Raw genomic sequence first — 13,943 nt, forward strand, 5'->3', positions numbered from 1 at the left:
CCTCCTCTCTGCACCCCACTTGGCTTCAACCTCTAGTGACTGCACAGAGCCCACCTGGGGTCTAACGCTGGGGAAGGCAGCTCGAACTCACCTTTCTTTCCCCTTCTTCCACCTCCCACCTCATTCCCGTCTGTTGTCTAAATAAAACACAGAAAAGGAAGCACAGCTGGTACCAGGGAGACTCATCCCAGGGCTAGGGGTAGGGGTGGGAACTGGGGGCAAGGCAGGCAGAGGAACCTCAGCCCAGTGTAGTGGAATCATGGAAGGACAGGCCCGGGGGTCCGGCTCAGCCATCCCCCTCTCTTTCTCTCCCTCCATCTCGGAGGCTGGCCTGGCAGTGGGCCTGCTATTTGAGGAGGCTGTCAGGGAAGCCTCCATGCCTACCTCTCAGGAACCATGTGTGACCCCTTTTCTATCTTGTGTTTTGCATTTTTTTCCCGTGTGTCAGTTACATGTTTATGGTTTTTTTTTTTTAACTTTTATTTTGACTGTTTATTTATTTTTTCGGAAACAGCATTTTGCTCTGTCTCCCAGGCTGGAGTGCAGTGGCATGATCTCGGCTCACTGCAACTTCCACCTCCCAGGTTCAAGTGATCTCCCACTTCAGCATCCTGTGAAGCTGGGACTATAGGCGCCCATCACCATGCCCGGCTAATTTTTGTATTTTTAGTAGAGACAGGTTTTTGCCATGTTGGCAGGCTGGTCTCGAACTCCCGAGCTCAAGCAATCTGCCTGCCTCGGCCTCCCAAAGTGCTGGGATTACAGGCATCAGTCACTGCTCCCAGCGTTTACTTTTATTTTGAAATAATCTCAAGCTTATAGAAAAGTTGCAAGTATTAGCTGGGCATGGTGGCACGCACCTCGAATCTCAGCTACTCAGGTGAGAATCGCTTGAACCCAGGAGGTGGAGGTTGCAGTGAGCTGAGATTGTACTATTGCACTCCAGCCTGGGCAAAAGAGTGAGACTCTGTCTAAAAAAAAATAATAATAAAAAAAATAAAGCAAGAAAAGTTGCAAGTAGAGTATAAAGAACTTTTTTTTTCTAAACCCATTTGACAGTAAGTTGTTGACCCAATGCCTCATCATCCCTGGATACTTTAGTGCACATTTCCTACAAGCAAGGACATTTTCTGACATAACCTAATATGACCATCAGTATCAGGATGCTGACCTTGTACATGAAGACCAACTATTCCTCAGACACCATTCAACTTTTGCCAATTGTCCCAACAATGTCCTTTGCAGCAGAAAGATCCGGTTCAGAATCACATTTGCATTTAGTTGTCATGTCTCTTCATTCTCCTTTATCTGGGACAGTTCCTCAGGCTTTCCTTGACTTTCATGACCTTGGCACTATTGCAGAGTACAGGTCAGTTATTTTCTTGAACATCTGTCAGTGGGTTTTTCTGAAGTTTTTTCAGGACTTGCTTCAGCTTATTCATATTTGGCAGGAATATCAGAAGTGATGCTGAGTTCTCCTTGTTGCATCCCTTCATATCACGTGGGATTTTGATTTCTCTCCTTACTGGAGAGTGAAGCTTTGATCACTTGAAGATGGTTTCTGCCAGTTTTTTCCACTGTAAAGTTACTTTTTCTCGTTTGTAATTAATACTTTTTTTTAAATGAAGAGGTACTTTGAGACTGTGTAAATATCTTGTTCCTCCTAAACTTTCAATTTATTCATTTGTATATTTTGTCTATATAAACTCATGGATTTCTGTTTGATGCAATTCGTTATAATCCATTAATATCATTATTTATTCTGGTGCTCAAGCTGTCCTGGATTTAACCAGTAGGTGCCCCTTCAAGTGGGCTTCTGTATCTCTTTGATTTTGTCCCCATCATTCTTTGAACATTCTTTAATTTTTGGTAAACCAAGGTACTCCTCCTTAGCTTTGGAATCAGCTGTTTCTCCAGGGAGTCCTTGTTCCTTTTAGTGGAGAATGGTATTTAGAAGACAAGATCTGGGTCCTAGGTGTGCTCATTACTATTGGAGTGCCACAGCTCCAGCTCCCAGGTTCTCTCAGTGGACACACACGTAAGCATACATTCACACACTTGCATCTATTTTATATATATATATATATATATGTACTGATATGGTATGGCTGTGTCCCCATTCAAATCTCAACTTGAATTGTACCTCCCAGAATTCCCACATGTTGTGGGAAGGACCCAGGGGGAGGTGACTGAATTATGGGGGCCTGTCTTTCCCATGCTATTCTCGTGATAGTGAATAAGTCTCATGAGATCTGATGGGTTTATCAGGGGTTTCCACTTTTGCTTCTTCCTCATTTCTCTCTTGCTGCTGCCATGTAAGAAATGTCTTTCATCCTCCGCCATGATTATGAGACCTCCCCAGCCATGTGGAACTGTAAGTCAGATTAAACCTCCTTTTCTTCCCAGTCTTTGGTATGTCTTTATCAGCAGTGCAAAAATGGACTAATACAGTAAATTGGTACCAGTAGAGTGGGGAGTTGCTGAAAAGATACCTGAAAATGTGGAAGCAACTTTGGAACTGGGTAACAGGCAGAGGCTGGAACAGTTTTGGAGGGCTCAGAAGAAGACAGAAAAATTTGGGAAAGTTTGGAATTTCCTAGAGACTTGTTGAATAGCTTTGACCAAAAGCCTGATAGCAATATGGACAACAAGGTCCAGGCTGAGGTGGTCTCAGATAGAGATGAGCAACTCGTTGGGAACTGGTGCAAAGGTGACTCTTGTTATGTTTCAGCAAAGAGACTGGTGGCATTTTGCTCCTGCCCTAGAGATCTGTGGAACTTTAAACTTGAGAGAGATGATTTAGGGTATCTGCAGAAGAAATTTCTAAGCAAAAAAGCATTCAAGAGGTGACTTGGGTACTGTTAAAAGCACTCCATTTTAAAAGGGAAACAGTACAAAAGTTCAAAAAATGTGCAGCCTGATTATGCAGTAGAAAAGAAAAACCCATTTTTTGAGGAGAAATTCAAGCTGACTGCAGAAATTTGCATAAGTCGCAAGGAGCCTAATGTGACTCCCCAGGACCATGGGGAAAATGTCTCCAGGCCATGTCAGAGACCTTCACGGCAGTCCCTCCCATCACAGACCTGGAGGCCCAGGAGGAAAAATTGGTTTCATAGACCTGGCCCTGGGTACCCATGCTGTGTGGAGCTTAGGGACTTGGTGCTCTGTGTCCCAGCAGCTCCAGCCATGGTTGAAAGGGGCCAACGTAGAGCTTGGGCTGTGGCTTCAGAGGGTGGAAACCCCAAGCCTTAGCAGCTTCCACATAGTGTTGAGCCTGTGGGTGCACAGAAGTCAAAAATTGAGGTTTGGGAACCTCTGCCTAGATTTCAGAAGATGTATGGAAACACCGGGATGCCCAGGCAGAAGTTTGCTGCAGGGGTGGGGCCCTCTTGGAGAACCTCTGCTAGGGCAGTGCGGAAGGGAAATGTGGGGTCAGAGCCTCCAAGCAGAGTCCCTACTGGGGACCTGCCTAGTGGAGCTGTGAGAAGAGGGCCACTGTCCTCCAGACCCCAGAATGGTAGATCCACAAACAGCTTGCACTGTGCACCTGGAAAAGCCACAGACACTTAGTGCCAGCCTGAGAAAGCAGTGAGAGGGAGGCTGTACCCTGAAAAGCCATAGGGACGGAGCTGCCCAACACCATGGGAACCCACCTCTTGCATCAGCATGACATGGATATGAGACCTGGAGTCAAAGGAGATAATTTTGGAGCTTTAAAATTTGACTGCCCTGCTGGATTTCAGACTTGCGTGGGTCCTGTAATCCTTTTATTTTGGCCAATTTCTCCCATTTGGAACTGCTGTATTTATCCAACACCTCTACCCCCCATTGTATCTAGGAAGTAACTAGCTTGCTTTTGATTTTACAGACTCATAGGTGGAAGGGACTTGCCTTGTCTTGGATGAAACTTTGGACTGTGGACTTTTGGGTTGATGCTGAAATGGGTTAAAACTTTGGGGGACTATTGGGAAGGCATGATTGGTGTTGAAATGTGAGGACATGAGATTTGGAGGGGCCAGGGATGGAATGATATGGTTTGTCTGTGTCCCCATTCAAATCTCAACTTGAATTCTATCTCCCAGAATTCCCATGTGTTTTGGGAGGGACCCAGGGGGAGGTAATTGAATCATGGAGGCCAGTCTTTCCCATGCTATTCTCATGACAGTAAATAAGTCTCATGAGATCTGATGGGTTTATCAGGGGTTTCTGCTTATGTGTCTTCCTCAATTCTCTCTTGCTGCCACCATGTAAGAAGTGCCTTTTGCCCTCTGCCATGGTTATGAGACCTCCACAGCCATGCAGAACTGTAAGTCAAACTAAACCTCCTTTTCTTCCCAGTCTCAGGTATGTCTTTATCAGCAGCGTAAAAACAGACAAATACATATACATTAAATCATATTTGCTTAATTTTAAATTGTTGCCATAATGGAGTAAATTTGTAAAATAATTGTTAGTGGTTATCATATATCTATATATACACAAGGTTGGCATCTGTGTAAGATGGGACAGGAGCCAGGGTGGGGGCAGGAGGCACTGTGGGATGTCAAAGTTCCTGTTAATGCCTCCAATTCTGATCACATGCCATAGGGTATATTCTGCCTTTCTCCCTTTCCATTGTTGTAACAGTCTTTTTTTTTTATTATTTTTATTTTTTTTGAGACAGAGTCTTGCTGTGTTGCCCAGGCTGGAGTGCAGTGGTGCAATCTTGGCTTACTGCAACATCTGCCTCCCGGGTTCAAGAAATTCTGCTGTCTCAGCCTCCCAAGTAGCTGGGACTACAGGCACCCACCACCACACCTGGCTAATTTTTGTATTTTTAGTAGAGATGAGTTTTCACCATGTTGGCCAGGCTAGTCTCGAACTCCTGAGCTTAGGTGATTCACTTGTCTTGGCCTCCCAAAGTGCTGAGATTACAGGCGTGAGCCACCACACCAGGCCATTGTTATAACTGTCTTCTGTGACAGTGAAAAATCTGGCTCCCATCTCATCTTCTGTAATATATTTAGTCATTTGATCAATACCTTGTATGTAACCAATCCCTTATCACTGCCATTGCCCTAGGGACACCCTCCCCACCAGTGTATTAGAGCTGCCTTTCTTATCCTGTTCTGGCTCCAACACCCTGTGCTGGGCCACCTCCTTTCATGGATACCTCTTCAACCTACTCAGGCTGTGACACCCCAAGCTGGGCTGTTCCCTACTCCTCAGATGCCCCCTTTGCACCACTTGGGCTTGGCCACTCACACTGGGCCACCACTCACCCTCATGTATGGCCCCTTTGACCTGCTTAGCCTTTGACACCCCGTGATCGCCTCCACCCCATGATGTGCTCCAGTGCCCCAGTGGCTGCTGTCTCATTTTGCATAGATGCCAACCTTGCTTAATCCCACGTAGTGGCTTCTAGCCTAAATTGTTTTGGAAGGAAAGGGAAGAGTATATGTGAAATATTTTGATGTACAGAAGTTTTACATTTTAAAGAAAATAAACCTATTGACCTTTCTCTTCATGTTTTCTCAATTTAGCTCTATACTTAGGTCTTTCCTACCCATCTTAACTTGGGTCCCCCAAAGAGCAGAACCTGTGACAAAGGCCTATCTGCAGAGTTGATTTTGTGATTGGCTTCCAGGGAAGAGGAGTGGGAGGCTGGAAAGAGGGAGACAGGACAGGAGGGGAGGCCAACACAGGGGAAATAGGGGTCAGTCCTGCTGGGGTCCTGTCAGGAACTTTGGAGAACATGCCTCAGAATTGGCTCCCTGGCAGAGGGAAGAAGGTTTTTATTTCACAAGAATCAAAGGCTTCCCTGGGGGATGTGGACTGCTTGCACTCCCAATATTGTGCACACGGCAGAATGGCAGAGTTGGTCACTGACAGCAGGTATCCCAAAGAGCTGGGCCAGAGAAGCTGGGAGCAGAGAGAGAGGGAGATGTGGCATGGCGGGGGTGGTGAAACAAAAAGAGGAGCTGACAGGGTGTGACATGCGGCATAAAAGATGTCTGGCATGCAACTTGAAGATAATGTGAATCTTACTTCATATTTCATTTTAATACTCTATTTTTTAAATATTTAACCTATCTGGAATTTTATTTTATTTTATATTTTTGAGATGAGGTCTTGCTGTGTTGCCCAGGCTGGAGTGCTATGGCACAATTGCAGCTTACTGCAGCCTCAAACTTCTGGACTCAGGCGATCCTCCCACTTCAGCCTCCCCAGTAACTGGGACTACAGGCCTGTACCAACATGCCTGGGTAAAATTTTAAATTTTTTTGTACAGACAGGGTCTTGCTTTGTTGCCCAGGCTGGTCTTGAACTTCTGGCCACAGATAATCCTCTTGCCTTGGCCTCCCAAAATGTTGGAATTACAGGTGTGAGCCACTGTGCCTGGCCTGGAATTTATTTTAAAGTGTGGTGTGGGCTGGGCGTGGTGGCTCACGCCTGTAATTCCAGCACTTTGGGAGGCCAGAGTGGGTGGATCACGAGGTCAGGAGATCGAGACCATTCTGGCTAACACAGTGAAACCCTGTCTCTACTAAAAATACAAAAAAAAATTAGCCAGGCATGGTGGCAGGGGCCTGTAGTTCTAGCTACTCGGGAGGCTGAGGCAGGAGAATGGTGTGAACCTGGGAGGCAGAGCTTGCAGTGAGCCCAGATCGCACCACTGCACTCCAGCCTGGGTGACAGAGCAAGACTCTGTCTCAAAAAAAAACCAAAAAAAAAAAAAAAAAAACCAAAGGACCAGGCCCGGTGGCTCACGCCTGTAATCCCAGCACTTTGGGAGGCCAAGGCGGGTGGATCACAAGGTCAGAAGATCAAGATCATCCTGGCTAACATGTAAAAATACAAAAAAAAATTAGCTGGGCATGGTGGTGGGCACCTGTAGTCCCAGCTACTTGAGAGGCTGAGGCAGGAGAATGGTGTGAACCTGGAGTGTGCAGTGAGCCGAGATCGCGCCACTGCACTCCAGCTTGGACGACAGAGCGAGACTGTCTCAAAAAAAAAAATCATGTGGTGTGAGGTAGGGATAGAATTTAAATTTGCTCCCTAGTAGGTTGGTCAGTTATCCTCAAGCCATAATTCACTGAATAGTCCATATTTTCCCATAATGACATGAAATTCTATCTTAAAAGTATATTAAAGTTTAAATATATTATGTATTGAATCTGCCTCATTGTTCCGTCTGCTAATTTTTTTTTGCTAGTACCACACTGTTTTAATTATTGCAGATTTAGAATGCATTTTAAAATTTGCAGAACAAATATCCCTTTAGTGATGTTCTTTTTTCAGAAATTTATTAGTGAGCAGTAGAAGTTTATTTTTCTAGAGGATCTTTTGAATTATTATTGTAATTTTTATTCTTCTTTTTTTTTTTTTTTTTTTTTTTTTACCTTCCCAGGGGGAAAGGGCCTGAGCTTGTACATTCTTCAGCCAAGTAGCAAACCTCTCTTTCACAGATGGTCAGAATACATAAAATCATATGATATAAAGACACAGATGGTGTGTTCCCACTCACTATGCTGCCCGCCTTTTAATTTTACTCTCACTGCTGTCCTGTGACTTTAGGAAAGGGCGGTTATTGTGTACAGCACAAGTACAAGGCTTAGAAAATATTTTTTTTCCCCCAAAGGCACACAAATAAATATTAGACATAGAACTGAAATGCCTTTTTGTGTTCATAAGACTTCTTAGAAAGAATGACAGTCTAGGAATTAAAGTCTGTGCTTCTAATGGGAAATCCTTGGTCCTGATGTGTTTACATTGAAGCAACTATTTTAACTGAGTCTTATGAAAGACCTTCTTAGGAGTGACAGGTATGAGCTATTGCAACAAAACATAGTGTACAATCTTATGTGAGGGTCTTTAAATAGAGAGCCGGTTATAAAGACTGTGTCCCTGATGTGTGGGGCTGGTCCTCCTCCCCAGCAGACCTCACCTCCCTGCCCTTTCAGCATCCCCTCCTTGGCCCCAGCTGATGGCTGATGCTCCCATTGGTCTCTGTGGTGCTACCTGCCACTGGCCTGCCAAGACCTCAGACCCTCGCTGTCTCCTTGTCCCATTTCCCCTGAGGCTTGTGGCTGGTTCTGTGGTTATGACTGAGTTGGCCCTTCTGACATCCTGATCCAGACACTTCCCAACCTAGGCTGTCTCAGCTCTCCAAAAGCACCCTGAAAATAAAAATGGAAAGGAGTTTGGCTCCTTGGGTGAGGTTGTTCCTGCTCTCCCTAAGACACTGTTCTTTTCTGTAAATTTCACCTATCTGAAAGAAACAGAATGCTTCTTGTTTCTTGGTGGGGAAAAGTAACCATAATGGAATGCCGCCTTCATGCTAGGCATTTTACAGGTCACCCCATTTAATCTTCACAATTCTATAGGAAGGGATGCTTGTCTCTGCTTTAGAGAGGAGGAAACTGAGGCCAGAGGGTTTATGGAACATGTGCAATGTCATGTGGAATGTTAATAGTGAAGCCAGGGCCAAAACCGAGGTCTGCCTGAGTCCAAGTCCAATTCCACAAACATGATGTTAACATACTCCTCGGTGCCAGGCACTGTGTTTTAGGGGCATAGCTGCCTCCCTATTGTCAAGGATTTTGAGCAGATCAGATTTGAGGACCTTTTTTCGATAGGTCTATATTTTTCTTACAGCCACTCCCCATTTTAAGCGCATCGTGAGTAGGCTTTTGGAGTCTGATCTATCGAGCTGGGTATGTTTGGAAAGCTACAGAGCAGTAGCCATAGAAAGACTGCGTGAGACAGAGTCCTAGCCTATCTGTCCGGCCAGTCGAACCTCATGTGTTCGCTGCTTTCATTTTCCCTTGGCTGAGGAAACGATGGTTTGGTTTTGCAAAGGAATGCTGGGGACTTCTGCCAGCTTGCTAACGGCCTTGCCCCATTCAGATGCATCGAACTCACAGAACATCGCTCCCCAGCTGCTGGCTCGCGGTTCTGAGAGTGCCTGAATAGAAAACCACTCATTTCCCTTCGCAAAAGAGGCGCCCAAAGCAGATATTTCAATATATTCCAATTTAGCCGAGGGAAGCCAGAACATGGATGTTGTTGCCAAGGAAACCACCTCCTTCCTCCTGTGTGCTGTGCATACGTGTATCACTTCATCTCTCTGCTCTCCAAGGTAATATCATAGCTCCGTGCTTGGGGAAGGGTTTTTAAAAAGGCATATAAAACCTCTTAGCATCAAGAAGATTCATTAAATGATCTCATTCCAGAGAAGCTTAAATTATTCTTTTTAGATCCTTTTATGCTGAGGATGGGGAAATGGCTGAGTCAGTGCTATCTCTCGCAGCCCAGCTTGGTGTCTTCGTGGAGACAGTTTTTCAGAAATAAACAAATCAGAGTTCGCAAGCTTAGACAGGGCGAGTGTGTGTGTAATAAGAACGAGGCCGTCATGTAGCTGTAATGTCACGGTCTAATCCCTCCTAGAGGATCTGCCAAGACCACCTTGATCTGAGGGCCTCCTGGGTGTGAGGCCACATTGCACAGGGCAGGCTTCAAAGTGGAGACAAGAGAGGGTCGGTGTTGCAAGGCCACCTGTCAAAAGATTCCTTGTTCGGGAACTGCGTGGGGATTTCTGCTGCCCAATCTGTTCTCAGACCCACTCCTGGGCTGTTTTTGTCCTGCCTTGGTGTCTGGTCTTGGGTCCACCTCTCTCTCCTGGACGCTGCCATCACCCCCTTCATTCCCACCTACCCTATTCTGTATGTTAAAGTCAGCACAATCGCCCTCATGCCTTACAACCCAAGAGACAAACTGGAGGGTGCACTTGGTAGTCATCTGAGAGCTCAGTGGGTGGCCCCGACTTTCACACCTTCTTCCTCTCAGCCCCTCCTGGTTTTTAGGGCTCAGATTCCCCCTTGCCCACTGCATATGCAGATTAAATTTGGCTTCTCTCTTTCAATTAGTGGCACTAGCCAAGAATATTGGTTTATATTAGTCATTCCCAGCTGGGGGGCAATTTTGCCCCCCAGGGGACATTTTTGGTTCTTATTTCGAGGAGGGAGTCCTGCTGGCATCTAACGTGCAGAGGCCAAGGACTCTGCTGAAACAACTTACAGTGCACAGTCCAGGCCTCTAAAAACAGAATTATCCAGCCCCAGGTGCCAATAGTGCTGTGGTTGAGAAACCCTGGCTTATACTTATTCTCTTTGCTCGTTGATGTAATAAATATTTATTGAGTACCTACTATACACCAGGCTCTAAGCCAGCAGCTGGGGATGTGAACTGAACAAGACAGACATAGCTTCACTCACTTTCTCACATAGAGCCAATTGGGAGACGTTAAACAAATAATTACAATGATACAAATAAATTATTATTACAGCTTGAATCTAGATCTGACGTGGATATCCTGCCACAGTTCCGAAGTCTACCTAGTGCCCCAGCCGAACCTGCCCTGGCTCCTAGGTGGGGTATGGACATCTGTGACATCCCTCCCCAACACCCCACCAAGCTGGGCTGCAAGACGGGTTATGGTGGCCCCATGACTTCCTTCCTTGGTAAGCCACAGGACTTCCTTGTTAACTGCTTTGCTGTTGGTCATTGCAGAGAAATAGGGAACAATAAAAACAACCTGAGGTGTGGCAAAGGCTCTAGGACTGCATCATCTGCTGAAGCTCCAGTCCCTGCGCTGCATCTCCTGAGTGGCATCTGTGATGGCAAACAAAGGCTCCTTGGGCTTCACGCTCTGCTTTCTTTCTAAGTGGTACTTACCACCCGCTGCATCCCAGCCTTCTTCTGACCAGCTTCCTCTTCTGATAGGCTTATTTCCATGAAGTTTTTCAGAGTTAGAAGCATGAACTTTAGAACCAGATGATCCCGGTTGGAATCCATCTCTGGCACTTGCTATATGACCTTGGATAAGTTACTTAACCTTTCTGTGTCTCAGTTTCTTTTTCTATAAAATGGGCATAATAAAATCTATCTAGCATAGTTATTGTAAGGATTAAGTAAGTTATTATATGCAGAGCTCTTGGTTCACAGTTAGTGCCATTTAAGCCTTTCTGTCATTCTTACTGTTACCATTTTCCTGGCATGTCAGTCTGATGATGCAGACGAGGCAGGAACTTTCGTCTCTGCCTCTCGTGGACTGCCCAATCAGCTCCACGGAACTCAGCCATGCCTGCAGTGCTGCAGGCCTCGCTTTGGACTGCTGGAGGCTGAGAAGTCAATGGATGTTGCTTGGGCATTTTGGGGGGTTTCCTTATGCAGGAGGAAGATGACAATCATTGTGGAAGCAGAAGGTTGTCATGGAAATGCACCTGTTCCAAGTCATTGCACCCTGGGCTCTGGGCTGGCTCTGCACGGGCCTGCCATGCACTGACTTCAGCTTCATCTGAGTCAGTGGAAGGCTGGACAAAGGTAGACATCTTTCCTCACTGCCAGCCTGCCATTGCGGCTTTCTGTCTCTGGTGTGAACAGGCAATCGAGCTTTCCTGGTCTCCTGAGCTACTGTGAACGTGGCAGAAGATAGTGGACTCTGAATAACATTGGAAACAACTACTTCCTGGACGGCCACTGTGTGCATGGCCTGCGGGAGGGTGAGGGCAAGAGGACTGATGGTTACTGGGAATCTTCTTCATGGCCAGGCTTCTGTGTGTCCTCTCACTTAATCCTCCAACAGCACTGTGAGGAAAATACAGCATCCCACCTCACAGGCGAGGAAGCTTAAGTTGAAGGAATGTTAAATTGCCTGCTCTGAGCCTCACAGCCGGGAGGTGACAGCCCCAGGATTGGCGGCCAGGGTTTGTCTGCCTTTAAAACTTATGTCATGTCCTTCTGTGTTATCTCGGTCTGTACAGGCTGCTACAGCAAAATACCATAGCCTGGGTAGTTTATGAACAACAGAAATTTATTTCTCATAGTTCTGGAGCCTGGAAGTCCAAGATCAAGGCTCTCGCAGGTTCAGTGTTCGGTGAGGACCCACTTCCTTATTCATAGACGTCCCCTTCTCACTGTGGCCTCACAGCAAGGGGTCAGGGTTCTCTCTGGGGCCTCTTTAAATAGGGTCACCAATCCCATTCATGAGGGCTGTACCCCCATGACCTAATCCCCTCCCAAAGGCCCCACTTCCCCATACCATCACCTTGGGGGTTAGGATTCTAACATGAATTTTGGGGGGACACAGGCATTCTGATCATAGCATATGTGTAGTTGCTCCTGGCCCGCTGGGGAAATCACCGTCTCCAAGCATGGCTCCCATCTGGTTACCCTGGGTGGCCAAGGTCAGCAGAGGTGCTTTGCCAACTGATTGGCACCCACACTACTTCTGTCCAGGTGGGCTGGGGCGAGGGTTGGGTCACAGTGGGACTCTGTGGGGCTCCGGGGACTGTCAGCTGCCCCGGGGCTGGAGGTCCTGCTGCTCTGTGCCCATAGGCACCTCCTGGGAATCTGGCGACTTGCATCAGGGCCCGGAACTCACCCTGACAGTTCTTTCAGCTCTTGTCTTTTCCTCCCCTACCTACCTGCTCATCTCGCTTTCACACACAAAGCCTCCCCTGCACTCCCCGCTCCCCTCCTCAATCCCTTTCCCGGCTTTTGTACTTTATGATGCCGTGACTTGGGTGAGGAAACTCATTAAAGTCATTATTCCGTGCACAGAAATGTGTCTTTCATCCCATTCATATTTAATGTTCCTCCCACTTGATCTTTTGATGCTTTTTAATTCTTGATATTACATGACATACACACACAGCTCTCGTTGGGAATCGTTCTTTCTATAGAGTTGTCATGACTGCTCTCTGTGTGAGGAGGGCTCCTCCTTACGTATTTATTAATTTCTAAAATGATGCCTGTATTTTGGGATTGATGCTGTCTGATGCTATTGACTTTGAATGATCAAGGGTGACATTGGGATAAGAGGAATTGTGGGAACAGGACAGAGGTCTGGATTCTTCTCATGACTGTTGCTTTTCCTGCCTGGAGGCCAGGTGTCCATCTGTGAAATGGGCAGATGCATGCCTCATGGCCTAATCCAATCCCTGCATTTGGCATCCGTTGGGATTTTCTGGGGTGTAAACACCTGGTTTAAATTCTGTCTAATTTGCTATAAAAAGGAATATTTTAGGAGGAGATGGGGCTACCCATAGAATCACAGAAAAGGCTGAGAAATTGGCTGTCTGAGGGACAGATAACCAGGGCAGCTGCAGGGACCTGGGAGCGGGCTCCCTTCCGGCTCCGTGGTGAAAGGAAGGAGACCTAATGGCTGTCAATGGCTCTTTTCTCAGCTCAAGATTTAAATTCCAGTAAGTGAACATAGAATTGGCTCAGCTTGGGTCCCATGCCCAAGGAGAGGGCGGGGTGTTTTGATTGACAGTTATATTGAGATCTTATCCAATGAGGGCCAGGAGTTCCCCCAAGGTTAAGAGGCTGTTTTCAGAAGAACGATGGATTCTGAGTAGAAGAAACAACAAATGCCCTGAACACATCCCAAACCATGGGGAGGCAGTGAGACCATGGACAAAAAGAGGAAAAAGCAGGTTCTTCGGGTTCCAAATCTCTGACAGAGAGAGATACATTTCTGGGCCTCAGAGATTACCTTCTAATTCAGGAGGAGGCAAACTTTCTCTGGAAAGTGTCAGAGAGTAAATATTTTTGTCTTTCTGGCCCACATGACTTCTGCCATGATACCGTGGAAGTAGTGGTAGAAGACATGTAAATGAATGGGTGTGGCTGTGTTCCAATAAAGCTTTATTGATAAAAAACAAGTAGCAGGGTGGGTTGGGCCTGCAGGACACAGTGTGCTGGCCCAGGTTCTAGTTGACAGCTTTCACTTCTTAGAGAAGTTCCTTTCCAGCTTTAGCAATCCGGGTAAGACAGTGGTTCTCCGATGTGGCTCTACTTCAGCAGACCCCAAGGAGCCTGTTGAGAATACAGATGCCTGGGGCCCACCCCAGCCTTGTCAAATTGGAATTTCCAAGGATGGGCCCAAGGATCTGTAT

The 13,943-nt window shown here is 46.4% G+C and overlaps 1 long non-coding RNA gene across 1 annotated transcript, besides 2 other annotated features; it reads left to right on the forward strand.

Moving 5' to 3' along the window:
• The first annotated feature begins 8,675 nt into the window (after positions 1–8,675).
• On the forward strand, positions 8,676–12,696 carry LINC00856 (long intergenic non-protein coding RNA 856). The gene is made up of 2 exons (NR_038985.1): positions 8,676–9,121; positions 10,328–12,696. It is a non-coding gene; the product is annotated as a long intergenic non-protein coding RNA 856 (long non-coding RNA).
• Positions 10,460–10,529: an enhancer, noted in NCBI's record as "active region_3617". NCBI's record gives its function as "activates an Ori minimal core promoter by ATAC-STARR-seq in GM12878 lymphoblastoid cells {active_cell/tissue: GM12878}" and the evidence as "EXISTENCE:reporter gene assay evidence [ECO:0000049][PMID:35858748]".
• Positions 12,275–12,788: an enhancer, noted in NCBI's record as "H3K4me1 hESC enhancer chr10:80011981-80012494 (GRCh37/hg19 assembly coordinates)". NCBI's record gives its function as "activates a minimal SCP1, AML or CMV promoter by ChIP-STARR-seq in primed H9 embryonic stem cells {active_cell/tissue: H9 hESC(primed)}" and the evidence as "EXISTENCE:reporter gene assay evidence [ECO:0000049][PMID:30033119]".

This window comes from Homo sapiens, chromosome 10 (genome assembly GCF_000001405.40).
Source record: "Homo sapiens chromosome 10, GRCh38.p14 Primary Assembly".
NCBI lineage: Eukaryota > Metazoa > Chordata > Mammalia > Primates > Hominidae > Homo > Homo sapiens.